General features: G+C 52.7%; 1 protein-coding gene across 2 annotated transcripts, besides 6 other annotated features; it reads left to right on the plus strand.

The window, feature by feature from the left end:
• Positions 8,480-8,709: an enhancer, noted in NCBI's record as "active region_12392". NCBI's record gives its function as "activates an Ori minimal core promoter by ATAC-STARR-seq in GM12878 lymphoblastoid cells {active_cell/tissue: GM12878}" and the evidence as "EXISTENCE:reporter gene assay evidence [ECO:0000049][PMID:35858748]".
• Positions 8,830-8,939: a silencer, noted in NCBI's record as "silent region_8712". NCBI's record gives its function as "represses an Ori minimal core promoter by ATAC-STARR-seq in GM12878 lymphoblastoid cells {active_cell/tissue: GM12878}" and the evidence as "EXISTENCE:reporter gene assay evidence [ECO:0000049][PMID:35858748]".
• Positions 10,340-11,211: an enhancer, noted in NCBI's record as "H3K27ac-H3K4me1 hESC enhancer chr17:48907716-48908587 (GRCh37/hg19 assembly coordinates)". NCBI's record gives its function as "activates a minimal SCP1, AML or CMV promoter by ChIP-STARR-seq in naive H9 embryonic stem cells {active_cell/tissue: H9 hESC(naive)}" and the evidence as "EXISTENCE:reporter gene assay evidence [ECO:0000049][PMID:30033119]".
• Positions 11,212-12,082: an enhancer, noted in NCBI's record as "H3K27ac-H3K4me1 hESC enhancer chr17:48908588-48909458 (GRCh37/hg19 assembly coordinates)". NCBI's record gives its function as "activates a minimal SCP1, AML or CMV promoter by ChIP-STARR-seq in naive and primed H9 embryonic stem cells {active_cell/tissue: H9 hESC(naive and primed)}" and the evidence as "EXISTENCE:reporter gene assay evidence [ECO:0000049][PMID:30033119]".
• Positions 12,242-12,762: an enhancer, noted in NCBI's record as "H3K4me1 hESC enhancer chr17:48909618-48910138 (GRCh37/hg19 assembly coordinates)". NCBI's record gives its function as "activates a minimal SCP1, AML or CMV promoter by ChIP-STARR-seq in naive H9 embryonic stem cells {active_cell/tissue: H9 hESC(naive)}" and the evidence as "EXISTENCE:reporter gene assay evidence [ECO:0000049][PMID:30033119]".
• Positions 12,763-13,283: an enhancer, noted in NCBI's record as "H3K4me1 hESC enhancer chr17:48910139-48910659 (GRCh37/hg19 assembly coordinates)". NCBI's record gives its function as "activates a minimal SCP1, AML or CMV promoter by ChIP-STARR-seq in primed H9 embryonic stem cells {active_cell/tissue: H9 hESC(primed)}" and the evidence as "EXISTENCE:reporter gene assay evidence [ECO:0000049][PMID:30033119]".
• On the plus strand, positions 14,569-22,338 carry WFIKKN2 (WAP, follistatin/kazal, immunoglobulin, kunitz and netrin domain containing 2). 2 transcript variants are annotated; one of them, NM_001330341.2, is made up of 2 exons: positions 14,569-15,017; positions 19,484-22,338. In NM_001330341.2, exon 2 carries the CDS (start codon positions 19,553-19,555, stop codon positions 21,002-21,004), a length of 1,452 nt encoding a protein of 483 aa, NP_001317270.1. In that variant the 5' UTR covers positions 14,569-15,017; positions 19,484-19,552; the 3' UTR covers positions 21,005-22,338. The 2 variants fall into 2 exon arrangements, with proteins under 2 accessions (NP_001317270.1, NP_783165.1); NM_175575.6 differs by lacking the exon at positions 14,569-15,017 and adding an exon at positions 15,571-16,132.
• Positions 22,339-24,142: the final 1,804 nt, after the last annotated feature.

Below are 24,142 nucleotides of genomic sequence, written 5' to 3' on the forward strand. Positions count from 1 at the left end.
AGATGACTCCCTCCCTGAGAAACCCCAGAGGGAAGGGGATACTCGGGCATTGAGCCCTCACTCCAGCACCCTAACACCTTCTACCCTCAGTGGTGGGGTCTTTGCCTTTCTGATCCTCATGTACCTGAGGCCACAGTGGGCAGGTTGTACCTGCCCTGTGCCCTGCAGGCACAAAGGGGCTGGCTCCCTTGCATGGGCCCCCTCTTTATCCTCCAATTCCCTCCTGTTTTCCTTCTGCTGACTCAGAGTTAGGAACAGAGCCTCTCCAAACTTTGGGAAGCACCTCTCCTGCCATCTACCATGGTGTCTGACTGCTGGACTTAGGGAGAGAAGCGCCTTCCCCCCGGCTCCTCACTGGCAGAAAGTCCTCCTGGTGGCTCCCGATGAATGAGCCTGGCCCATTTTCTGCCCATCCTCTGTACCCAGCAGTGCCCCCAATCATTCCACCATGAAATGTGCAGTAGCTTTCTATCCCTCAACTATTTCATGCTCACTTGGCCCAAATGCGGACAGTCATGGGTTCTTCTGCTTTTGATATGGAAACGCTGGGAAGGGAAGAGCGTGGTCCCTTTAAATGATACGGAACAGCGCAAGGGAAATGTTGGGTAGAGGAAGGTTGTGCTCCCTGGCGAGGGCTCCACCCTCGTGGACCTAGGTTAGGACAGGCACTCCTGCTTTTGCACCCAAATGTTGCATTTCCCAAGACCACCCTGTCCTGCCACACCCCCATCCTGTGCCTATAAAAACCCGAGACCCTAGCAGGGCAGAGACAGAAGCGGCTGGACATCTAGAGGAGTATATTGGCGGTGGGACACACAGGCGGCTGGATGTCAAGAGGAACGCACTGGCACCGGCATCGGCATGCCAGCAGGCCACTGACCAGCAGAAGGACGCAGAGTTTGGCTGGGGCAGTTGGAGGAGAGCCTGGGACACCAAGCGGCCCAACTCCAGAGGAAAACCATCTCCCTTCTGGCTCCCCCATCTGCTGAGAGCTACTTCCACTCAATAAAACCTTGCACTCATTCTCCAAGCCCACGTGTGATCTGATTCTTCTGGTACACCAAGGCAAGAAACCCTGGGATACAGAAAACCCTCTGTCCTAGTGACAAAGTAGTGGGTCTAATTGAGCTGACTAACCCAAGCTGCCTACAGATGGCAAAACTGAAAGAGCACCCTGTAACACACGCTCACTGGAGCTTCAGCTGTAAACATTCACCCCTTGACACTGCCGTGGGGTCAGAGCCCCACAGCCTGCCCATCTGTATGTTCCCCTAGAAGTTTGAGCAGCAGGGCACTGAAGAAGCGAGCCATACCCCCATCGCACACCATCTGAGGGGGACAAAGGAACCTTTCCCGTGAGACTTTTTTTTTTTTTTTTTTTGAGACGGAGTCTCACTCTGTCGCCCAGGCTGGAGTGCAGTGGCGCGATCTCGGCTCACTGCAACTCCTGCCTCCCAAGTTCAAGCGATTCTCCTGCCTCAGCCTCCTGAGTAGCTGGGACTACAGGTGCTCGCCACCACACCTGGCTAATTTTTGTATATTAGTAGAGACAGGGTTTCACCATATTGCCAGGCTGGTCTCAAACTCCTGACCTCATGATCCGCCCACCTTGGCCTCCCAAAATGCTGGGATTACAGGCGTGAGCCACCACGCCCAGCCTCCTGTGAGACTTTCAGTCTGCTTGCTGCAAGCTAGAGCAGTGACTAATATATATTTTCTGTGGTCTACCTCTTCACTTAGCTACATACTGTTTTGTTGTTTCCCTCAAATCGCCACTCCCAAGATCAACCCAAAACAGAGTTCAAAGTGCAAAGCAAGCCTTTCTGAAATAGAAGGCAAAAATCAAAGCCTCCTTCCTGGTGGTGGTGTAGGCATGGGTGAGAGATTCTACCCTCTGAGTCCCACTTGGACTTGTGTGGACTCCCTCCTCTCCAGCCACCCTGGCTGTCTTCCAGTTCCTCCAATGCTCTGTGCCACCTCCCATCTCACAGCCTTTGCATATACTGTCCCCTCTTTGTCCAGCTAACTATGATTTATCCTTCAGGTCTCAGTATTGATGTCACTTCTTCTAGAAGCCCTTACCTGACCTTGCTTTTAATGGGAAATAGGGCTTTTACCCTCTAATGCTGTTCCCCTAGAATCTGAGCTGGCCACATATTTGAAGTCTACTCCAGCCAACATTATGGTCTGGATCATAATCATGGTCTGTTTGCTTAGAGGCTACTGATGGTGCTTTCCTCTAAGCCCACACTCAAGACCCCTGTCATGAGCATTGCTAAGGGCACAGGCTTTGAGAAGAGCCCCAGATGTTCTATCTTATATCCTAAAGAGAATTCTGGCAGGATTCTTGTCTCTGCCTCCTGATTCGTCATGAGCAGTGAAGCTGAGCAGCTGAAACTGGTTTCCACCACAGTTCCCTCATGTCTATTCCATTTGTATATTGCTCTACATTTTATTTTTTGTTTTTAAATAAATTTAAAAGAATTTTATTTTTATTTTTATTTATTATTTTTTTTTGTAGAGACAAGGGTTTCGCTATGTTGCCCAGGCTGGTCTCAAACTCTGGGCTCAAGTGATCCTCCTGCCTTGACCTCTCAAAGTGTTGGGATTGCAGGCGTGAGCCACTGCATCCAGCCTGTATATTGCTCTGTAACAAACTATCCCAAAAGTTAGTGTATAAAACATTTTATTTGCTCATGATCCTATGGATCCGAAGTTTGGGCAGAGTTCAGCTGGGCTGTTCTTCTGCTCTATGTGATGTTAGGTTGGTGCAAAAGTAATTGTGGTTTTTGCCATTACTTTTAATGGCAAAAATATTAGGGATCATTCATTCAACTACCTTATAGGAATCATTCATTTAACTACATAGCTGGTAGCTGGGCTAGGCTGGAAGGTCCAAGAAAATGCATTCACTTGTCTGGTATCTTGGTGCCCCTTCATGGATCCACTAAGTATTTCTGTCTACGTGGCTAGCTGGGACTTCCTCATGACATGGTGGTCTTAGGGTAGCTGGACTTCTTACACAGTGCTGGCTTCTAAAGGAAACCTTCAAAGAGGGGCAAATGTGGAAGTCATGATCTTTAAAGCTTGACTTGGAAGTTATACTTCTGTTACATTCTGTTGGCCAAAGTCAATAGGACCAGCCAGGTTGAAGGAAAGCCCATCTCTCTACTGAGGGAGCGGCAAAGAATTTGTGGCCATCTTTAATCCACCAGGATGCCTCATTTGGCACAGTTGAACCAGAGATGAGAGCCTCAGGCTGCATTTGGAAGATCTTCCCATAGGAACACTCCCAGGGCTTATCCATAATTGCTTACTTTAAGGCTCGGAATTCTAACTTGAGTGCATGCCTTGTGGTCTGACCTATTCCTAGGCAAAGCAATGGCTTTCCCCTATCACCATCTTTATCTCATACATCTTATAACCCTTAAAACTGGTGTTCATGTGGAGAGTAAATAGTTTGGAGGCATCACCAAATACCAGCATGGGAGCATGAATCGGGCAACTCATGAAGACCTCAAACTCCTACTAAGGGCTTCCAACCACCAACATTGCTTCCACTCACAGTTTATGGGCCAGAACTAGTTACATGGCTTCAACCTAACTGCAAGGAAGGCTGGGAAATGTAGGGAGCACATGGGATGGTTGGAGTGCACAAATGGCCTCTGCCACATCTTCTCTTCCTGCCTTTGAATGTTGTCATGTGAGCACTTCCAGTGATGGCAGCCATCTTGTGACCATGAGGAGAAGGTCAAGAGAATTCCAGGAAGGCTGACCTGAAGCCCTAGTGTTGTTGAGCTGCTGAACCAGCCGTGGTACTGCCCATTCTTGGACCCCTTGACATGTGAGATACCTTGGGTGGGTGTTCCATTACTGTTTTTGCAGCCAAAAGAAACTCAATGGATGTAATGGTGAATGCTTTTAAGAAAATAAAACAGGGTGGAGTGTCATGTGACTTGGGGAGAGGGTGGCAAAAATCTAGGCGTGAGTGTGTGTGTAACAATGGACAAGGAAGTGAGGGAAGTCTTTGAATGAATAGAAAACACCATCATGGGAAGAGCTCTTTGGGCAGAAAGGACACATTACAAAGACCCTGAGGTGGCTGGGTGTGGTGGCTTACGCCTGTAATCCCAGCACTTTGGGAGGCCGAGGCGGGTGGATCACAAGATCAGGAGATCAAGACCATCCTGGCCAACATGGTGAAACCCCATCTCTATTAAAAATACAAAAATTAGTCGGGTATGGTGGTGCGCGCCTGTAGTCCCAGCTACTCAGGAGGCTGAGGCAGGAGAATTGCTTGAACCCAGGAAGTGGAGGTTGCAGTGAGCCGAGATTGTGCCACTGCACTCTAGCCTGGTGATGGAGTGAGACTCCATCTCAAAAAATAAAATAATAATAATAATAATAATAATAATAATAATAATAATAATAATAAAGACCCTGAGGTAAGAACACAGCCAGCATGTTTGAGAGAGAAGGCCAATAAGGCTGGAGCAGAGTGGTAGCAGAGAAGGAGAGCATGAGGACCAAGAGGCTGAATGGGGTCAGAAAAGGCAGACTCTTGTAGATAAGGTCAGAGTTTGACATTTTAAAAGACAGATTTGCCTGGGTGCGGTGGCTCATGCCTGTCATCCCAGCACTTTGTGAGACCAAGATAGGAGGATAGCTTGCGCCCAGGAGTTCAAGACCAGCCTGGGTAACATAATGAGACCATCTCTACAAAAAAAATTTAAAAATTAGCCAGGCATGGTGGCATGCACCTGTAGTCTCAGCTACTCAGGAGGCTGAAGTTGGGAGATCTCTTGAGCCTGGGAAGTCAAGGCTGCAGTGAGTCATAATTGTACTACTGCACACCAGCCTGGGTGACAAAGCAAGATCCTGTCTCAAAGAAAAAACAAACAAGCAAACAAGCAAATAAATAAAAACCAGATTTACTGATGTACAGCTGACAAACAATATACTGCACATGTTTAAAGTATACTCTTTTGGGTTAGTTTTCTTTCATTTAGTATAATTATTTTGAGATTCATCTGTATTATTGCATGTATGAGTAGCTTATTCCTTTTTATTGCTGAGTAGTATTCTATTGTATGGATACACTGCAATGTGTTTAAACATTCACCTTTGAAGTTGTTTGTAGTTTCTGGCAATGAAAAATAAAGCTGCTGTGAATATTCATGTTCAGGCCTTCTGTGAACACATCCTTTCATTTCTCTTGTGTAGACACCCAGGAGGGGAATGGTAGAAGTGTTTAACTTCCCAATTTTTTAAGAAGCAAACTGATTTACCAAGTAATTGTACCATTTACAATGGTACCAAATGCACTCATTTTCCCAGGAACAGTGTATGAGAGTTTCAGTTCTTCCACATCTTTGCCAACACTTAGTATGACCAGACTTTTAAATTTTAACCATTCTAATTAGTGTGTAATAATTTCTTATTGTGTTTTCAATTTTTATTTCCCTGATGACTAATGATGTTGAGCATCTTTTATTTATTTTTATTTTTTATTTTTTTTGAGACAGAGTCTTGCTCTGTCACCCAGGCTGGAGTGCAGTGGCACAATCTTGGCTTACTGCAGCTTCCGCCTTCCGGGTTCAAGTGATTCTCCTGCCTCAGCTTCCCAAAGTGCTGGGATTAGAGGTGCGAGCCACCACACCCGGCTAATTTTTGTGTTTTTAGTAGAGATGGGGTTTCGCCATATTGGCTGGTCTCGAACTCCTGACCTCAAGTGATCCGCCTGCCTCAGCCTCCCAAAGTGCTAGAATTACAGTCATGAGCCACGGCATCCGGTCAATGTTAAATATCTTTTATTATAATTATTTACCATTCATATATCTTTTTTGGTGAAGTGTCTGTTAAAATATTCTGCCCATTTTTCACTGGGTTATTTATTTTCTTATTATTGAGTTTTGAGAGTTCTTACATATTCTGGATACAAGTTCTTTATCAGATACATGTTTTCCAAACACTTTCTGCCAATTTGTGGCTCGTCTTTTCTTTTTTTTTTTCTTTTCTTTTTTGAGACGGGGTCTTACTCCATCATCTGAGCTGGAGTGCAGTGGCACAATGACAGCTCACTGCAGCCTCAACTTCCTGTGCTCAAGCAATCCTCCCACTTCAGCCTCCCAAGTAGCTGGGACTACAGGCATGTGCCACCATGCCAGGGTAATGTTTTTATTTTTTGTAGAGACAGGATTTGGCCATGTTGCCTAGGCTTTCATTCTCTTAATAATATCTTTTGCAGGGCAAAAGTAACATCAATTTTTTCTGTCTCGATCATGTTTTGGTTATTGTATCTAAAAAGTCATTGCCACCAAGCGCGGTGGCTGACACCTGTAATCCCAGCACTTTGAGAGGCTGAGGTGGGTGGTTAACTTGAGGCCAGGAGTTTGAGACCAGCCTAGCCAACATGATGAAACCCTGTTGCCACTAAAAATATAAAAATTAGCCAGGCGTGGTGGGGGCCGCCTGTAGTCCCAGCTACTCGGGAGGCTGAGGCAGGAGAATTGCTTGAACCCGGGAGATGAAGGCTGCAGTGAGCCGAGATCGTGCCACTGCACTCCAGCCTGGGTGACAGAGCAAGACTCCATCTCTAAAGAAAGAAATAAATAGTCATTGCCAAAATGAAGGTCACCTAGATTTTCTTTTGTGTTATCTTCCAGAAATGTTATAGTTTTGTGTTTTGCAATTAGCTCTTGATTCATTTTTAGTTAATTTTTGTGAAAGATGTAAAGGTCCATTATGTCTAGACTTTTTTTTTTTTTTTTTGCATATGGATGTCCACTTGGCCCAGCACCGTCTGTTGAAAAGACTGTTCTTTCTCCATGGATTGCTTTTGCTCCTTTGTCAAAGACCTGTTGACTATATTTCTATGAGTCTATTTCTGGGCTCTGTATTCGGTTTCATTTATCTATATGTCTATTCTTTAACCAATACCATGTTGCCTTTATTTCTGCAGCTTAATATATAGTAAGTCTTGAAGTTGGGTAATGTCAGTCTTCCAACTTTATTTTCCTTCTTCAGGATTGTGTTAGCTCTTCTGGTTTTTTGCCTTTCCATATAAACTTTAGAATAATTTTGTTGAAGTCACAAAATAGTTTCCTGGGATTTTGATCAGGGTTGCAGTGAATCTATAGATCTAGTTGGGAAGAACTGACATCTTGACAATTTTGAATCTAATCTGATCTATAAACATGGAACATGTCGTTCTTCTTTTTTTTTTTTAATCTTGGCTCACTGCAGCCTCTGCCTCCAAGGTTCAAGTGATTCTCCTGCCTCAGCCTCCCAAGTAGCTGGAATTACAGGTGTGAGCCACCACACCTGGTTAATTTTTGTATTTTTAGTAGAGACAGGGTTTGCCATGTTGGCCAGGTTGGTCTCCAACTCCTAACCTCAGGTGATCCACCCACCTCATCCTCCCAAAGTGCTGGGATTATAGGCATGAGCCACTGCACCCAGCTGGAACATGTCTTTCCATGTTTAGATTTTCTTTGGTTTCTTTTACCAGTTGTATAGTTTTTCTCGCATAGCTTTTATACATATTTTTAAAAGATGTACACGTTAAGTATTTTTTTACGTTAATGTAAATGGTTTCTGTTTAATTTCAAATTCCAATTGTTCATTGCTGATATAAAGGAAAGCAACTGACATTTGTATATTAACTGTGTATCCTGACACCTTGGCTTTTTAGATGATGACAATAGGAGCCCCCAAACCCTTGGCCTTGGGTTGTTCCTGACTTTCCCAAGTGATCTTCGACTTTTGGAATCTGCATGCAAAGGAAAGAAGGAGTTTCCCATACTTCTCCTTGGAATGGCCTGGCCCAAGCACAGCCTCCTTGGCCAAGGCCCCTGCCTCCATGGGACCCTGGCCTTTGGAAAGTAGAGGTGAGAGAGGAGGCCGCAGGTTTAGGAGACAGGGTGGGGGTGGGAGCCGCAGGTCTTGCCGGCTCTGCACGGATGGCCCTAGGAAAGTCACACCAGGTGGATGGAGTGCCTCACATATAGAAAGGGCAACTACGGTTTTGTGTAACTTTTGTTTCAGTTATTTACATGAATATGTGTACTGAATCATAATAAAAAATGTATTTCTGGCCAGGTGCAGTGGCTCACACCTGTAATCTCAGCACTTTGGGAGGCTGAGGCAGGCGATCTCTTGAGCCCAGGCATTTGAGACCAGCCTGGGCAACATGGCAAAACCTGATCTCTACCAAAAATACAAAAGATTAGCTGCTCATGGTGGTGTGCACCTGTGGTCCCAGCTACTCGGGAGGCGGAGGTGGGAGAATCGCTTGAGTCCAGGAGGTGGAGGTTGCAGTGAATAGAGATCGCGCCAGCCTGGGTGACAGAGCGAGACCCCATCTCAAAAAAGAAAAAAAGTATTCCTCACTATGTGTTGCAGTCAAAACATTTGAAAGCCCCTGTCACAGAGGGGTTTTCTTCCCTAAGGATTACAGATTAGAGGTGGGCTCCGTTCAGCTCAGCGGGGGGCTCAGTACCTGCCTCCCAAAAGTTTGTCCCATGCCACCAGCACCTCTGGCCCTGTGGGGTGAATCAAAGCTCTCAGCAGCTGAGCTCAGTTCTCAACTGTTCTGACCACCCACATTCTACGGAGTGTCTTTACTTTGAGATCATCTTGACTCTCGGTTTCTGTTAAAGAGTAAAACAACAACAACCATAGCTTTTTTTTTTTAGATTTTTAAAGCACTGAGTCTGTCAACTCAGTGCTTAAAAAAGCACAGTTCTCAGAAAAGAGAACACACTCTGGAGAGGCAATTCATTGAGTATTTTTAGCAGGAACCTAAAAGGGGCAGCTCAGGGTAGTTGTGGCATTTAATTATGACCAGGAGAGGCCATTGGAGAATTTTAGGCAGGTGTGTTCATTTCCTGGGGCTGCTAAACAAATGACCAGGAACTTGGTGGCTTAAAACAGCACACATTTATTATCTGACAGTTCTGGAGGCTGGAGGTATGAAACCACAGTGTTGGCAGGGCCACGCTCCCTCCAGAGGCTTTAGGGGAGAGTCCTTTTCCTCTTCCAGTTTCTGGGGGCTCAGGTGTTCCTGGGCTTGTGGGTGCATCGCTCTAATCTCTGCTTCTATCTGCACAAGACTTTCCCGTCTTCTGTGTCTCGATTCTGTCTCTGCCTTTTATAAGGATACCCGTCATTGGATTTAGGGCCCTCCTCGGTAATCCAGCATGATCTCATCTCAAGATCCTTAATTTCATCTGCAAAGACCCTTTTCCCAAATCTCATCTGCAAAGACCCTTTTCCCAAGGTCACGGTCACTGTCTCTGTGGGTTAGAACATGGATATATTTGGCAGGGGTGGGGGGCTGGGGGGAGCACCACTCAACCCACTACATTGAACATTTAAACTTTACCCGTATTTTACAACCCAGTTGCGGCTTTTGTTTTGTTTTGCTTTGTCATTTAAAGTCAGGAAGGCCTCCTGAAAGAAGTTGTTTCTGAAATCGGTCAGGAAGCAGTGGGCTGGGAGAAGACAGAGCAGGCCAGGGGTGAGAGAGTGTTTAGGACAGAGGACAATGTCTGTGTGAGGTGGAAGGGGGAGTACTGTGAGGAGCTCTTAAAGGTCTGAAAGCGCGATATGGCAGCCTCCAGAGTTTGAGAGTGAAAGGGACAGATGGTAAGACCAGGGAAGTAAATGGAGGCAGAAGGTCACGGCAGTCCAGAACAATGCTTTGGCCTGCTCTTGAAGGCGTGGGGAAGCTGTCTTTAAGCCACAAGTCTTGGAATCATGATCAGTCAGAAAGAAACCTGTTTCTCATCCCTACTCCAGCTCACCCCCACACAGCCATTGGACATTTTGTTTTTATTTTTCATTTTTATTTTTGAGTCAGGGTCTCGCTCTGTCACCTAGGCTGGAGCATGATGGCGTGACCTCGGCTCACCATGACCTTCTCCTCCCGGGTTCAAGTGATTCTCATGCCTCAGCCTCCCAAGTAGCTGGGATTACAGGCACGCGCCACCACGCCCAGCTAATTTTTGTAATTTTAGTAGGGACGGGGTTTTACCATGTTGGCCAGGCTGGTCTCGAACTCCTGACCTCTGGTGACCTGCCCGCCTTGGCCTCCCAAAGTGCTGGGATTATAGGTGTGAGCCACTGCACCCAGCCTTCATTGGATATTTTGTATTGTTGGAATGAGTGTGAGGGGTGCAATTAGCTTTAGAGATGTTGTCCTTCTTTGCTCAGCAGCAGGCAGGGAAGCAGAGAGGCCCAAGAGTCTCACACCTTCTCATTTCCCTGTCATTCAAAGGGAGAAAGAAGGAAGGCAGGAGCTCCAGAGTGTGAAGAGTAGAGTAGCTGTGGAAACTTTTAGGGTGGGGGAGACCCGAGGGGGATAGAGGCCATGCCTCTGTTTGTGGTATTCCTACAGGCCTGGGAAGAGTGGAAACCCGCCCTCGCTGTGTCCCAGCAGAGCAGGGTGGTGGAGCTGGCCCCAGCCCCGCAGCCCCACAGCCTTGTGGCTTCTGCACTCTGGTGTTTGTCTTGGCTGAGAGCTCCACAGGGCTTTTTGAAGCTGATTCCATCAAGGCAAAGCTGGAGGAGTCAGGACATGGGATCACAGAAGAGGCAGCTGGAAGGGGCCTCAGATGGGGAAATAGAGGGGGTCCCACAGTGAGATGATGGCAAAGCAGGAAGAGAGCCCAGGGCTCCTGACTCCTTGCACAGTGCTCAAACCAAGACCATGTAGCTTCCCGAGTGGGTGAGGAGCCCGAGACAGGCTCCAAATCTTCTAGGAAGACATTTGAATGCCAAAGGAGCCCAGAATTGTGCTGTCCCAGAGGTGCCTCCTCTTCTGGGTTCCTGACACAGAGACTCCAGGACTCCAGATTCCAGGGGCTCACTGCACCTGTAGACCCCCCCGGGCCAGGCAAGGGTCTCCAAGGAGGCCTAGCTGGCCCGGGACACTGGGCCATGCCCCACCCCTGACAACCCCATAATTCTCAGATGTGGATTCAGGACTGCCCTTGCTTTACCTCTCTGCTCAGTGAGGACCCTCCCGTGTCCTGTTCCACACAGATGCAGATGGATCACGTGTCTCACAGCTGAAGGCCTCCCCCATCCGTCTCCACCATCTGCTGAGGCCCCATAATTATTCCAAGGCCCGGTGCAGCCTCACTCAGAGGGGAGAGTTCACGCGGTCCTGTAATGCAACCCAGGCCCGAGGCCGCGCGGGCAGGGGGTCCCAGCTGGGTAATGAGCCGCTGGCTTTATTGAATTCTCCGGCTTGAGTCTGACTAATCACTGCCTTTAGCCAAGGCAACCTGGGCTGCCATCTGAGCACCCTGGCTAGGACTTCCTTTCCTTCTCAGCACCCCAATTCCTGCCCCTCCTCCCCAAACATGTTTAAATGACCAAGATCAGAGCGGGAGGGGCTCCTGGGGGGCTGGTTTCCCCCCATCCATTTGGGAGAAAATGTGGCTGGCTCAGATCTGGGGCCCAAGCAGGGTAGACCAGAATGGGCCGCTGGGGTGTACTTTGCTGGGGCCACCCTGTGCCGCGCCTGCAAGACCTGCAGCTCCCACCCCCACCCCATCTCCTAAACCTGCTGACGTCCCTATCACCTCCCCTTTCCGGAGGCCTGGGCCCCGCGGAGGGAGGGCCTTGGCCGAGGAGACTGTGGTGTGGGCCAGGCCTTTCCAAGGAGAGGTGTAGGAAATGCCTTCCCTCCTTTGAGATTCTGCCCAGGCTTGGGCCCCACCCAATGTCATGGTCGTGCGAGAGCCAGCCCCAGGTCTCTCCCTCCTCTCTGTTCCCCAGCCCTGAGAGGACTCCCCACCAGCATTCACCATTCTTATCTCTGCATGCTGGCTTTCTAGACTAGACGGTACCCTCCCTGTGGACAAAGATTGTTGTTATTTTCTTTTTTTTTTTTTTTTGAGATGGAGTCTCGCTTTGCCACTCAGGCTGGAGTACAGTGGCGTGATCTTGGCTCACTGCAGCCTCCGCTTCCTGGGTTCAAGCAATTCTTCTGTCTCAGTCTCCCAAGTAGCAGGGACTACGGGCTCACGCCACCATGTGCAGCTATTTTTTTTTATTTTTATTTTTAGTAGAGATGGGGTTTCACCATGCTGGCCAAGCTGATCTCAAACTCCTGACCTCAGGTGATCTGCTCACCTTGGCCTCCCAAAGAGTTAGGATTACAGGCATGAGCCACCATGCCTGGCCAGTTATTGGTTCCGATGTGCCCAGAACTTGGCACACCGTAGGTGCTCTAAAAAACCTTTGTGGAGAGAAATAGAGGGAGCAGGTGCAGTGTGAGGTAGGAGTGTGGGTGTGGGGTGTGCATAAGCCACGTGGCACCCAAGATACTCTTGTGGCACCTCTGTACCTCCCCATCGCGGCTGCTGGGGGCTGGCTGACTTGGGAAATGGTATCAGCTGTGCTGTCCCGTCAAGACCCTAGCGGCTCAGGAGTTGTTAATGTCAGGGTGAACCTGAGGTCAAGGGTCACTGAGAGTGACCTGGTGACCTCCTCCCACGGCTCCTAGAGCAGATTTGAACCCACCCTGGCAGTGTGAAGAATCCATGGTTCTCCACCCTGTGACAATGGTGGGGGATGGAGGGGCCCTTCCAAGATGGGGCCAAGCCCAGCCCTCTCTGACCTCTCATTCTGAGTAGCAGGAGAGCTGTGCCTGGTGTCCTTGGGGAAAGGGGAAAAGGCAGATCACGCCCGAGGCCAGGCCTCTGCTCAGGAGACCCAGCCCAGCCTCTGCTCCCAGTGGCCTGAGTGGAGGAGGCCCGGTGGACAGTGGGCATGTGCCACTGAGCCGCTCCCGCTGGGCCCACCTTCAGTACCGTGGGTTTGGTGAGGGTAGGGCCCACACCACCCACAGGGAAGAGTGTGAGGGACACAGAGTCAGACACACAGACACACCAAGAGGAGAGAGAGAAGGAGGCAGATCCAGAGCCAGTTCCAAGGGCCTCTGGGAGGGAGGAGAAGACTTCAAAGCGCTCCCAAACAGCTTATAAACAAGCCAGTGGGCGGGGCAGCCAGCATGGGCTGGGGGTCGCTTTCTGGAGGGGCTGGAAGCTTGCACGGGGTGTGTGGAGGCCATAGGCCCGGGGTGGGCAGGAGGAGGGCCCAGCCTAACCTCTCTGTGACTCGGTTTCCTCTCCCGCGCTAGGGAGCTCCCTCCTGGGGCTGCCGTGGGGTCAGCAGCAACGTGCAGGTGAAAACACTGTGTGGGCTCCAGGCCGATCAGATGTTATTTATTATTCTGAGCTGTGTTTTGGTGGGAGACTTGGAAGGGCTGGAGGGAGAGTCAGAGTGCTTTGGGCTCCTCTCTTTCCCGATGCTGCTTTGAGAGTTCTCAGAGTAGAACGTCCAGGAATGGGGCCCGGGAAGGAGAAGTCCGTGGCTTGAGACAGGACCAGGTTGGGTGTGGGGGCTTTCTCCATCAGCCCCAGGAGTGGGGGTAGGATGGCCAAGCTTCCCCTGCCCTGCCGTGTGCCCCTCTCCTGCCCTCCTCAGCACCCCCCAACCTCTGCTCGGTGCCTCCCCTCCTCCGACCCCCTCTCATCTCTCCCACACCCTCTAATGGTCTCTTGGGACTGCCCAGAAATCGGCCTCCTCTCCTTGGATACTTGTCCTGGCCTAATGGGGCTGTGACAGTTTTTCTAAGTCCTGCTTATAAATGTGTCACTGTCCATGTCCCTTTGTGCTATCAAAGGAGGCTGCGCAAACCGCGTTTGTCCAAGGGCTGTGTGAAGGCCCCCGCGCGGAGCAGCTGGAACACGGGCTGATGAAATTACGGGGAATTCAAAGCAGCCGGCGTCGCCCGCTGTCTGGCTTCATTACGGGGACTGGCCTCGAAGGGAAGTTTATTCCAATAATTTAGAGGATTAGGATCTGACACCCTTCATTAGCGATTTGACATAAGCAGAAAAGACAGATCCTGCAGAATGGCCGCACAACGGGAAGGGACCAGCTCAGGCGGGGAGAAGGCAGCACCCGCCCGGCTGGGAAGGGGAAGGGTCTGGGTGTGGAAGCGAGGGTCCCGTGGCCGTTTTACAGTCCTGTGAGATGGCGAGCTGTGTTCTTGAAGGGGAAAGTGGACGTGGGGAAGGAGCGGCCTGGGCTCAGGCCTCAGTTTCCTTAGCTGTAAAGCGAGATTACCTTCAGGATCCCTTCCGTATCTGATGCGTGTGGGGGCCACTCCACCTACTGTCCCCGGGACACAGCAGCTCCTCAAGGCCCTTGTGGTTTGGCCTTGGAAAGGTACCTCTCTTTCGGGGCTCTATGTGCCTCCGCCCCCTACCCCCAGGATCGAGTGACCAACTCGAAAACACTCAGACTGCAGGCTGCTCTGTGGCATTTTAGATAGAAGCCATTTGCTGCCAAATGGGGGAGGAATCGCCCCCAGCCCCTGGCAGCTTCTGGCTCTCTTCCCGGCCCCTCCACAAATATAGCCCCTGATGTTTCAAAAATTTCTTGTCCAGTCTGTGAAAACCAGAGTTTGGGCTGTGCCTTGACAGCAGTTCTGGCAGATGGATGGGGGAGGGGTGATTTTAAAAGGCCCCTGCCCACACCCAGCAAGCTGGTGTCCCTGTTTCCTGTACCGTGGTGGGGTAGCTGTGCGACATGGGCAGGTTGCTTAGCCTCTCTGTGCGTCCTTTCCTCCGATCTGAAATGGAGGTGCAGTTTGTTGTGAGGATTAAATGAGATGATGCGTTCAGAGAAGCCACACGTGTGAAGAGCCCAGTGCATCTGGCAGCTGGTACCACCAGGACTGCTCACTCTGTGCGACCTTGGACAAGTCGCTCGCCCTCTTCGACCACAGACCTTCTCCTTTGGGAAGTGGGGGAGGCCAGACAAGGCTGGCAGTCAGAAGGAGCTCACTGAAGAGCAGCCACTGTGGTCGTCAGCGAGGGCAGCTGGACTCCGGCACAATCCTGAGACACTGTGACCGCGGAGGTTTTCTCGGTGTGTCGATGGAAGAGGGAGGAATGTGATCCGTCCCAGCCGCCGGCGGGGCCAGAGCATATCTGGTATGTGTCTCTGGAATGATTTGGGGAAAATTAACTGAAGTTGGAACTTAAGACGCAAACTGCCCTGGACACAGAGATACAGAGCTGTCCGTGCGCACACCCCCCACAAAGGGCCGGGGCCGGGGTGGGAGTCGGCTTACAGGGCACAGCGCGGCGCAGGCCCGCCCTGGAATGGCCGTGAACTTGTTGTTTTTCCACGTCATTTGCTCTCAAATGTACTATCAAGCCGGGCGATGCTAACCCGGTGGCTGCAGGTCCCTCCTCGTAACAAGCGATTGTGTGTTCTTTAGAGGTGGCCAAAGGGGAGGAGGGGGCCCGGCCCCAAGGAGGTGGGGGAAAGGGAAACAAGCCCTCCTTCAGAGTGAGCTTGCGTGTCCTGGAGCCAGCTCCCCGCAAAGCACATGCCATTTCTGGCCCTTGAAGGGGTTAAAGGCCTCCTGGAGTCAAAAACAAGCAGGTGTCCCACCGTGCCAGATACGCTGCCTAAACTGCTTCCAGCTTCTTTTTTTTTTTTTCCCCCCTTCTGCAATAAGTCTGTGATCAGCCACGGGACAGAGGCGCCAGCAGCCTGCCTGTGACAGGCATCAGGTTAGCTGGCTCCCACTCGGGTGGCGCGCCCAGGATATAAATCCGGGCGCGGGCCCCTGCTGTGGCTCCTCTCCCTGCACACTCAGGAGAGGGAGCTTCCTTCTAAAGACCTTTCTTTTATCTGAAGCCGCACAGCCCGGCAGGCTGTGCTGACTTGGTGGAGGCAGCAGCGGCAGAGCAGCCTGAGCAGCAGCCTGAGCAGGAAACCTGCTGGGGTGGGGAGGGCAGGTGTCTGCAGCCCCTGAGAAGAAGGCCCTGGTGGGCCCCAGACCCTGGCATCGTTTCAGGGGAGGTCTCTAGCCGCCCCAGCCTGCACCATGTGGGCCCCAAGGTGTCGCCGGTTCTGGTCTCGCTGGGAGCAGGTGGCAGCGCTGCTGCTGCTGCTGCTACTGCTCGGGGTGCCCCCGCGAAGCCTGGCGCTGCCGCCCATCCGCTATTCCCACGCCGGCATCTGCCCCAACGACATGAATCCCAACCTCTGGGTGGACGCACAGAGCACCTGCAGGCGGGAGTGTGAGACGGACCAGGTGAGTGGGGTCCAGAGACCAGAGATGGACCACGTGAGCCTGTGAGTGACGGGGGTGGGAGCCGTCGGGGAGGGACTGTGTGGGAGTGTGAGGAGGACAACGTGAGTGGGGTCCAGAAGCCACAGTGTGAGGCGGACCAGGTGAGTGGTGTCCGGAAGCAGGAGTGTGAGATGGACCAGGTGAGTGGGATCCAGAAGCCACAGTGTGAGGCAGACCAGGTGAATGGGGTCCAGAAGCCGCAATGTGAGATGGACCAGGTGAGTGGTATCTAGAAGTGGGAGTGTGAGGTTGACCAGGTGAGTGGGGTCCAGAAGCCGGTGTGTGAGGCGGACCAGGTGAGTGGGGTCCAGAAGCCACAGTGTGAGATGGACCAGGTGAGTGGGATCCAGAAGCTGGAGTGTGAGGCGGACCAGGTGAGTGGGATCTAGAAGTGGGAGTATGAGGTGGACCAGGTGAGTGGGGTCCAGAAGCCACAGTGTGAGATGGACCAGGTGAGTGGGATCCAGAAGCTGGAGTGTGAGGCGGACCAGGTGAGTGGGATCTAGAAGTGGGAGTATGAGGTGGACCAGGTGAGTGGGGTCCAGAAGCCACAGTGTGAGATGGACCAGGTGAGTGGGATCCAGAAGCTGGAGTGTGAGGCGGACCAGGTGAGTGGGGTCCAGAAGCCAGAGATGGACCATATGAGCCTGTGAGTGATGGGGGTGGGAGCCACAGGGTGGGGACCATGCAGGAGTGCCCTGCAGGTCCTAGGAAGGTGAAGGAACACAGGCCCCGTTCACCTGGAGAGAAACAGGGCACCATCCTGTCTATTAACACCGAAGCCTGGAAGGAGAGGTGGGAGCGATGTCCCAGTTCATCAGGGACTGGAGCCCGAGGATTCCTCCTTCATGCGTGCTGAGGGCTACTGTGGCCAGCACCGTGCCGGGCACGTCGTGTATGTTGGCATGACATGTCAGCATGGTGGGCATCAGCAGCCCATTCACAGGTGAGAGAGTGGACACAGAGCCAGGCACGGAGGGCACAGTTGTCATGGCCAGTGAGGGAACGATGAGCTTGGAACTCATGTCTAACAAGAAAGCTTTGATTGCATTGGACTCCAGGCCACCTCCTCAGGAGTTTGGACCCTGAGCCTGAGAGAAGACCAGGCTGACGGCAGGCCAAGCAGGAGCAGCTCTGAATGGATCTCTGGTGTCCCTGGGAGGAAGGAGACCACGTTTCAGCCTCCCAGCGTCCTTGGTCCTGCCTTCTGCTCTGTATCAGAGGGCACTGCTGCAGGGCAGGGCCAGTTCTCTTCTAGCTCCCGAGTCATTCCCGAGGGCCATTCCTGCCCACCCCCTCTGGGGCAACAGGCTGTGGGACCTACACCTGCTCCAGGCAGAGCTATTTCCTGCCCAGTCTGGCCAGCTCTGAGGGCAGCACGGAGTCTCCCAAGGCTCCAGATCCAGGCTGGGGCATCCCCAGGGAACACGAGAGACACTGGTTCCCCCATAGATGCCTGGTTACCCACAGGAGAGCAGAGGGCTGACCTGGAGAGGGTGGCCTCAACCTCACAGTGCCCAGGGACAATTCTTAGGCCTCCCAGGACAGATGCTCCCCTTGGGCAATGGTGGTGCCAAGTGAAAGGAAGATAAGAAGTCAGGAGGAGTGGTGGCTGCTCCCATCTGGCCAAGGTCATGCCATTAGTTGGCTACATTTGCAGGCACAGGCTGGCCTGATTAACCAGGTAGGGCTTGGGGATGGTGAGACTCTGGTGGATTTTGTGTGTCTTGGAGAGAAGGCACCTGTGGAAGGCTGGGTATCCAGACAGCCCTTGGGGACATTCTGGCCCCCTTACACAGAAGTGTTCTAAGGACCCCCTGTAGGTTCCCTGTGGCCAGAAGTACCTTCCCTCTGGTGCCCAAGGACCCAGGCTTTCATGGACCTCCAGGTCCTGAATGTCTTAGGGAATGGGATGAGGCTCAGGCCAAGGAGAAGGTTCTCCTGCTCCTACTCCCTCTCCTGCTCTCCATTCCCTGCGGGGTCTCTCTCCCTTAGACCCAGCTCTGAGAGCTGCCCATCCCTGTCCCAAAGCCTCCCCTGGTGTGGCCTAGAAGACTATGCCAAACAAGGGCTGCAAAACAAAGTCCCCATTCTGAGCCGAAACGGGTAGAACAGTAAACAAGTCAAGCAGGCAGGCTCCATGCAGCCAGGGTGGGGGGATATTTTCCCCCTCTTAGCTGATGTGGAATGTCAAAGAGGCTGAAATAAAAGTTGGAATGACAAGAGGCCAGCCCTAGTGGGGAGTAATTCACAGAGTTACTACCTGGTGGAGGATTAGGAGCGTTGCCTGCCTGCCAAGTGGGTACGATGTGTTATTGTCGAAAACACCACGTGAAATCCTTGTTTGTGTCAGCTCCAGGAGCATGTTGCTAATTTCGAGGAATTAAACTAATGCTTTACGTGGCTCCACAGAATATCAGAGGGGATTACAGCCTGGCAAGTCCTCGCTGACGGCCTTGCTGACCTTTGCCACACAAGGGGACTTTTTTTCTTGTTGCTTTTCCCGTGAAAGGTCCCACACGGAGCTGATACCTGGGCCTGGCACAGCCTGTGGCTCTGAGACCTGGCGTGTGGGGCCCGTCACGCCTGCCCTGACTGTTGGCTGTGGATCGATCTGGGCCCTCTCACAGCCTCTGTTCCCCGTGTGTGTCGGTCTCCTTGAGGGGAGGAGAGGTGTGGATCATCTCGGATAAAGTCCCAGGGGCATTCCCCTCTTAACCTCTGATGCGATCTCTTCCAGTCAGCAAGGCATCCTCACTCCCATAGGAAAGAGATGAAAGGCAGGCCTACTTGTTCAAGCTAGACCTCATTTGTGCTATATGATGCAGGAGAAAAAACTCCATTTCTCAATCCCTTCCACTGGGAGCTTGGAGCCTTGTTCTGCCACTTCCCGTCTCTGTGAACTTGGGCATCACCTCTCTGAGTCTCTGCAGTCTCATCTGTAAAATGGTTGTAGGAAAACTTTTCCTCTTAGAGTCTTTGGCCCACCCCTTCCTACCCTGCTAGCTGAGTGACCTTGGGAAAGTTACTTAGCCTCTCTGTGCCTCAGTCATCATCTGTGGAGTGGAGATAATGGCTATACCCACCTCTGGCTTGTGATGAGCATAGCAAGCTCACAGATGTCAAAGTTCTTACACAGGGGCCTAGCATGTAGGAGATGCTACGTATGCATTCGTTATTATTTTCAAGTGTTTTGCTCCCACTAGATGGTGAGTACATGTTAGTTCTCCTCCCCACAAACCATGGGGTAGGATAGGGAGCCCCTCCTTTCCTCCTTCTCCCTGTTCAGGCCACTCTCTCTGGCTCTTTCAGGAGTGTGAGACCTATGAGAAGTGCTGCCCCAACGTATGTGGGACCAAGAGCTGCGTGGCGGCCCGCTACATGGACGTGAAAGGGAAGAAGGGCCCAGTGGGCATGCCCAAGGAGGCCACATGTGACCACTTCATGTGTCTGCAGCAGGGCTCTGAGTGTGACATCTGGGATGGCCAGCCCGTGTGTAAGTGCAAAGACCGCTGTGAGAAGGAGCCCAGCTTTACCTGCGCCTCGGACGGCCTCACCTACTATAACCGCTGCTACATGGATGCCGAGGCCTGCTCCAAAGGCATCACACTGGCCGTTGTAACCTGCCGCTATCACTTCACCTGGCCCAACACCAGCCCCCCACCACCTGAGACCACCATGCACCCCACCACAGCCTCCCCAGAGACCCCTGAGCTGGACATGGCGGCCCCTGCGCTGCTCAACAACCCTGTGCACCAGTCGGTCACCATGGGTGAGACAGTGAGCTTCCTCTGTGATGTGGTGGGCCGGCCCCGGCCTGAGATCACCTGGGAGAAGCAGTTGGAGGATCGGGAGAATGTGGTCATGCGGCCCAACCATGTGCGTGGCAACGTGGTGGTCACCAACATTGCCCAGCTGGTCATCTATAACGCCCAGCTGCAGGATGCTGGGATCTACACCTGCACGGCCCGGAACGTGGCTGGGGTCCTGAGGGCTGATTTCCCGCTGTCGGTGGTCAGGGGTCATCAGGCTGCAGCCACCTCAGAGAGCAGCCCCAATGGCACGGCTTTCCCGGCGGCCGAGTGCCTGAAGCCCCCAGACAGTGAGGACTGTGGCGAAGAGCAGACCCGCTGGCACTTCGATGCCCAGGCCAACAACTGCCTGACCTTCACCTTCGGCCACTGCCACCGTAACCTCAACCACTTTGAGACCTATGAGGCCTGCATGCTGGCCTGCATGAGCGGGCCGCTGGCCGCGTGCAGCCTGCCCGCCCTGCAGGGGCCCTGCAAAGCCTACGCGCCTCGCTGGGCTTACAACAGCCAGACGGGCCAGTGCCAGTCCTTTGTCTATGGTGGCTGCGAGGGCAATGGCAACAACTTTGAGAGCCGTGAGGCCTGTGAGGAGTCGTGCCCCTTCCCCAGGGGGAACCAGCGCTGTCGGGCCTGCAAGCCTCGGCAGAAGCTCGTTACCAGCTTCTGTCGCAGCGACTTTGTCATCCTGGGCCGAGTCTCTGAGCTGACCGAGGAGCCTGACTCGGGCCGCGCCCTGGTGACTGTGGATGAGGTCCTAAAGGATGAGAAAATGGGCCTCAAGTTCCTGGGCCAGGAGCCATTGGAGGTCACTCTGCTTCACGTGGACTGGGCATGCCCCTGCCCCAACGTGACCGTGAGCGAGATGCCGCTCATCATCATGGGGGAGGTGGACGGCGGCATGGCCATGCTGCGCCCCGATAGCTTTGTGGGCGCATCGAGTGCCCGCCGGGTCAGGAAGCTTCGTGAGGTCATGCACAAGAAGACCTGTGACGTCCTCAAGGAGTTTCTTGGCTTGCACTGAAGCCCCCCACCCCTCCCTGCCCCCTCCCTGGCCTTCTTCCACCTATCCACCCCAATGCCTCTCAGCAAACTGGGCGAGGTCAGATTAGACAGGCTTGGGACAGCAGGGAAACATCAACCGACGTGTCACAGAAAAAGCCACAGAAGGTCTCAGATCAGCATCTATTCTTTGGGTTCAATAAGGGGTTCATATCTTTTTTAGCTGAGGGGGACAAGAGGAGAAGTCAGTGGACACATGGAAGTTACTCGTGACCACCAGCTTGCTCAGATATTCTCCTCCTCCCCTCACTGGCCCCACACCCCTGGCTCTCCCAGTCACCCTCCCCTAGCCAGTCTCCCAGCAAGGGTTTAAGAGATGGCCGCTGTGTGCTGGTCACAGGAAGTGTTGAATGGATTGGCTTGCAAAGGGGGTAGGTGGGGAGAGATAGGAGGGCCCAGGGACTCATGGGACACCTTTCCCACAGCCTCCTCGATTGCTGTGAGCAGAGGCCACTCGGAGTTAGGGGCATGGGCAATAGCAAGCTGGCGGCAGAGTCCAGCCCAGCATATGACTTGCCCTGAATGGAAGCTGCTGAAACGGGTGCCTTTGGGTGGTGGTCGGCTTGCCTCTGAGGCCACCACGGCACCAGCAGAATACGTATTTCTTCTCCTTGGCTGCACTGGTTTGTCGATCTAGTTCAGTTCAACTCAGTGGATGTTCTCTGAATGCTTACTGGGTGCCAGGACCACAGAGAGATGTTAGTCACTGCCCAGTTCTTAGAGCCCCAACACAGATACCCTCATCCCAGGGCCCCCAGACACACCCCTCCGCTGGACTCACAACTGTCTGGAGTTTCTGTCTGATGGATGGTGTGCTTTCATATGCCACTGGCTTCCTTGGACATAGATCAGACAAAAGCCCCGGGATCTGTTTGGTAGCAGGAGAAATGAAGGAAGATGAAAAAGCAGGCAGGGAAGGGGGTAGTAAAGGACTGAGAGAGGAGGGAGGTGGCTGGAGAAGGAAAAGGAACATTGCTCGATGCTCCCATCTGGTGGCGGCCTCAGGAACCCACGGGAACCTGGAAGGAGGCTCTTTGTGAGACCTGGGCAAAGGATGGGGCAGCTCGTCGATGATTTTTTTGTGTTTCCAGGCTTCCTGTGTGATCCTGGCCCTCCGGCCGCTAGAGAGAGGATTGGGAAACCCCACTGTCAGCTCTGCATCTGCCCCCACTACCCTCCTCTGCCCTATTCTGTCCCTGCCCCTCCAAGCTGAAGAAGGTCCTTGTGGGGCGTCCTCATTTCTTCCTCAAATATAAGGAGGAAGATACCAATTAAAAGCTCATAGTATCAACTGCCCTTCTTGTGTGATTCGTTTGGGTTATGATGGGGGAGGGAGGGAGGTGGGTAGTGTCATTTGCTTTGGTGACCTTACAAGAGGGAAGTCTGGCCACTGGGAGCATCTTTGGGGGATGGAGAGATGCTGGTAATATGTGGGCCCCTTTTGCAGCTCCAAGGCCCCTTAACTGATGCTCAGCTCAGCTCCGTGAGTTAAGCTGAGGTCAGAGAGGTGAGGTGACTTGCCAAGAACACAAAGGCAGGAAGGGGTGGGTGGCCCAGCCCAGGTGTTCTGATCTGTAACCTGCTCTCACCCCAGCGTGACAGCACAGTTGGTCAGGTGCAGTGTCCAGACCCTTCCACCAATGGTGTCAAGTTCAGAGGCAAGAAGGTGGAGGAGATGGGAACGGAGCAGGCAAGGACAGCTGCCAGCTGTGACTCACTAGGGGGCCTCTAGGTGAGGCCTGGTCCCAGGAAGACTGTGTCAAAGCCCTAGGTAAGGTCAGGGTGTGGGGCTTGGTTCCCAGAATGGGGACAGCAGTGCCTTTGGCCCCAGGAAGGCCCACAGCAGCTCCCGAGGCATGGAGACGTGTTCAGCCATGGCACACCCCACAGCCTGTTTGTCCCCAAGAGACACCACTTCCCTGCACAGTTGCCTGTGTTTTCCCGGGCCCCAACCCAAAAGAAGAATCCAGGCCCAGCCTAGCCTGGCCCAGCCCATCTCATCTGCAATAAGGGCGTGAGGAGGAGGTCGGGAGCAGGAAGAACAGAGGCAGAGGATCCAGGGTTTCTCAAGTTGACATCGGGAGAACACTGAGCACAAAACTTAGCCACCAAAGTGGTGTGAGCAGCAGCCACGGGTCCCCACCCTGCTCAGGTCAGGTAACCAAGGAGGGTGAGGATGGTCTCACCCTGTCCTCAGAGGCCCAGGGACATTCTGTGCACCTGCTTCCAGCTCGAGCTCTAGCACATTACCATGCAAGCTGTGGGGGCAATTGTCCACATGCCAGCACCTGTCACCTCCCTTTTCAACCCCATTTGCACAGATACGGGACCTGAACGTGCGGCTGGGCCGGGACAGCAGGGCCCCCAGTCGCACGTCTGCTTCCCTGATGAAGGTGTGAGGTTCAGGAAAATCCCACTGTGGGGCTCCCTCTCACCAGACCACTGCCCACATACAGCCCCAGACCTGGGATCCCTGTCACACTCCAGCCCCACCTGGCAGAGCGAGAAAACTCAGCCCGTGAAGTCAGACTTGCCTAGGTCTGAATCTGGGCTCTGCTGCTTACCTGCAATCTCTCTGAGTCTCTGTTTCCTCATCTGTAAAACAGAGGGTAGTAAGATCACTCTACAAGAGGCTTGGGAGCTGGGCCCTATTAACCGGGTACAACTGGAAAGCCCAGGAAGGAGGACCTGGCGCCGAGTGGCTGCCCCCTGCCCCCTCCCACCCTCGGCAGCTCTCAGCTCAGAACAGACCCCAGAACCGAAAGGCCTCCCCTCACGTTTCTGGGTCTGGGGCTTTGCAGTTTCAAATGTTTTATTCTATTGCTCACAGAGTATATCCAAAGTGAACACCCACTATAGACTGATTTGGGGTTCAGAAAATATGGGCACTTAGGGAATGGGTGGTTTCGAACCTATTATAACTTCTGACCTACTACCTGGCATTCATTTTCTATCCTTGAAACCAAGCCGGGGTCCTTTCTTTCTGTTACCCTAGGCCTTATACAAAGCCTGGCATCTAGCAGGAGCTCAGGAAAGGGTGGATGGAGCTCCCAGGGCCTGGTTGCCAGCCAGTCTCGGGAGGTTGCTTTGCTCAGTCAAA

This window comes from Homo sapiens, chromosome 17, assembly GCF_000001405.40.
Source record: "Homo sapiens chromosome 17, GRCh38.p14 Primary Assembly".
Taxonomy (NCBI): Eukaryota; Metazoa; Chordata; class Mammalia; order Primates; family Hominidae; genus Homo; species Homo sapiens.

Coding starts and splice junctions, on each gene's coding strand:
- WFIKKN2 (NM_175575.6), top strand. CDS start 15,923: ATGTGGGCCCCAAGGTGTCGCCGGTTCTGGTCTCGCTGGGAGCAGGTG. Junction 16,133..19,483: donor GGGAGTGTGAGACGGACCAG/GTGAGTGGGGTC, acceptor TGGCTCTTTCAG/GAGTGTGAGACCTATGAGAA.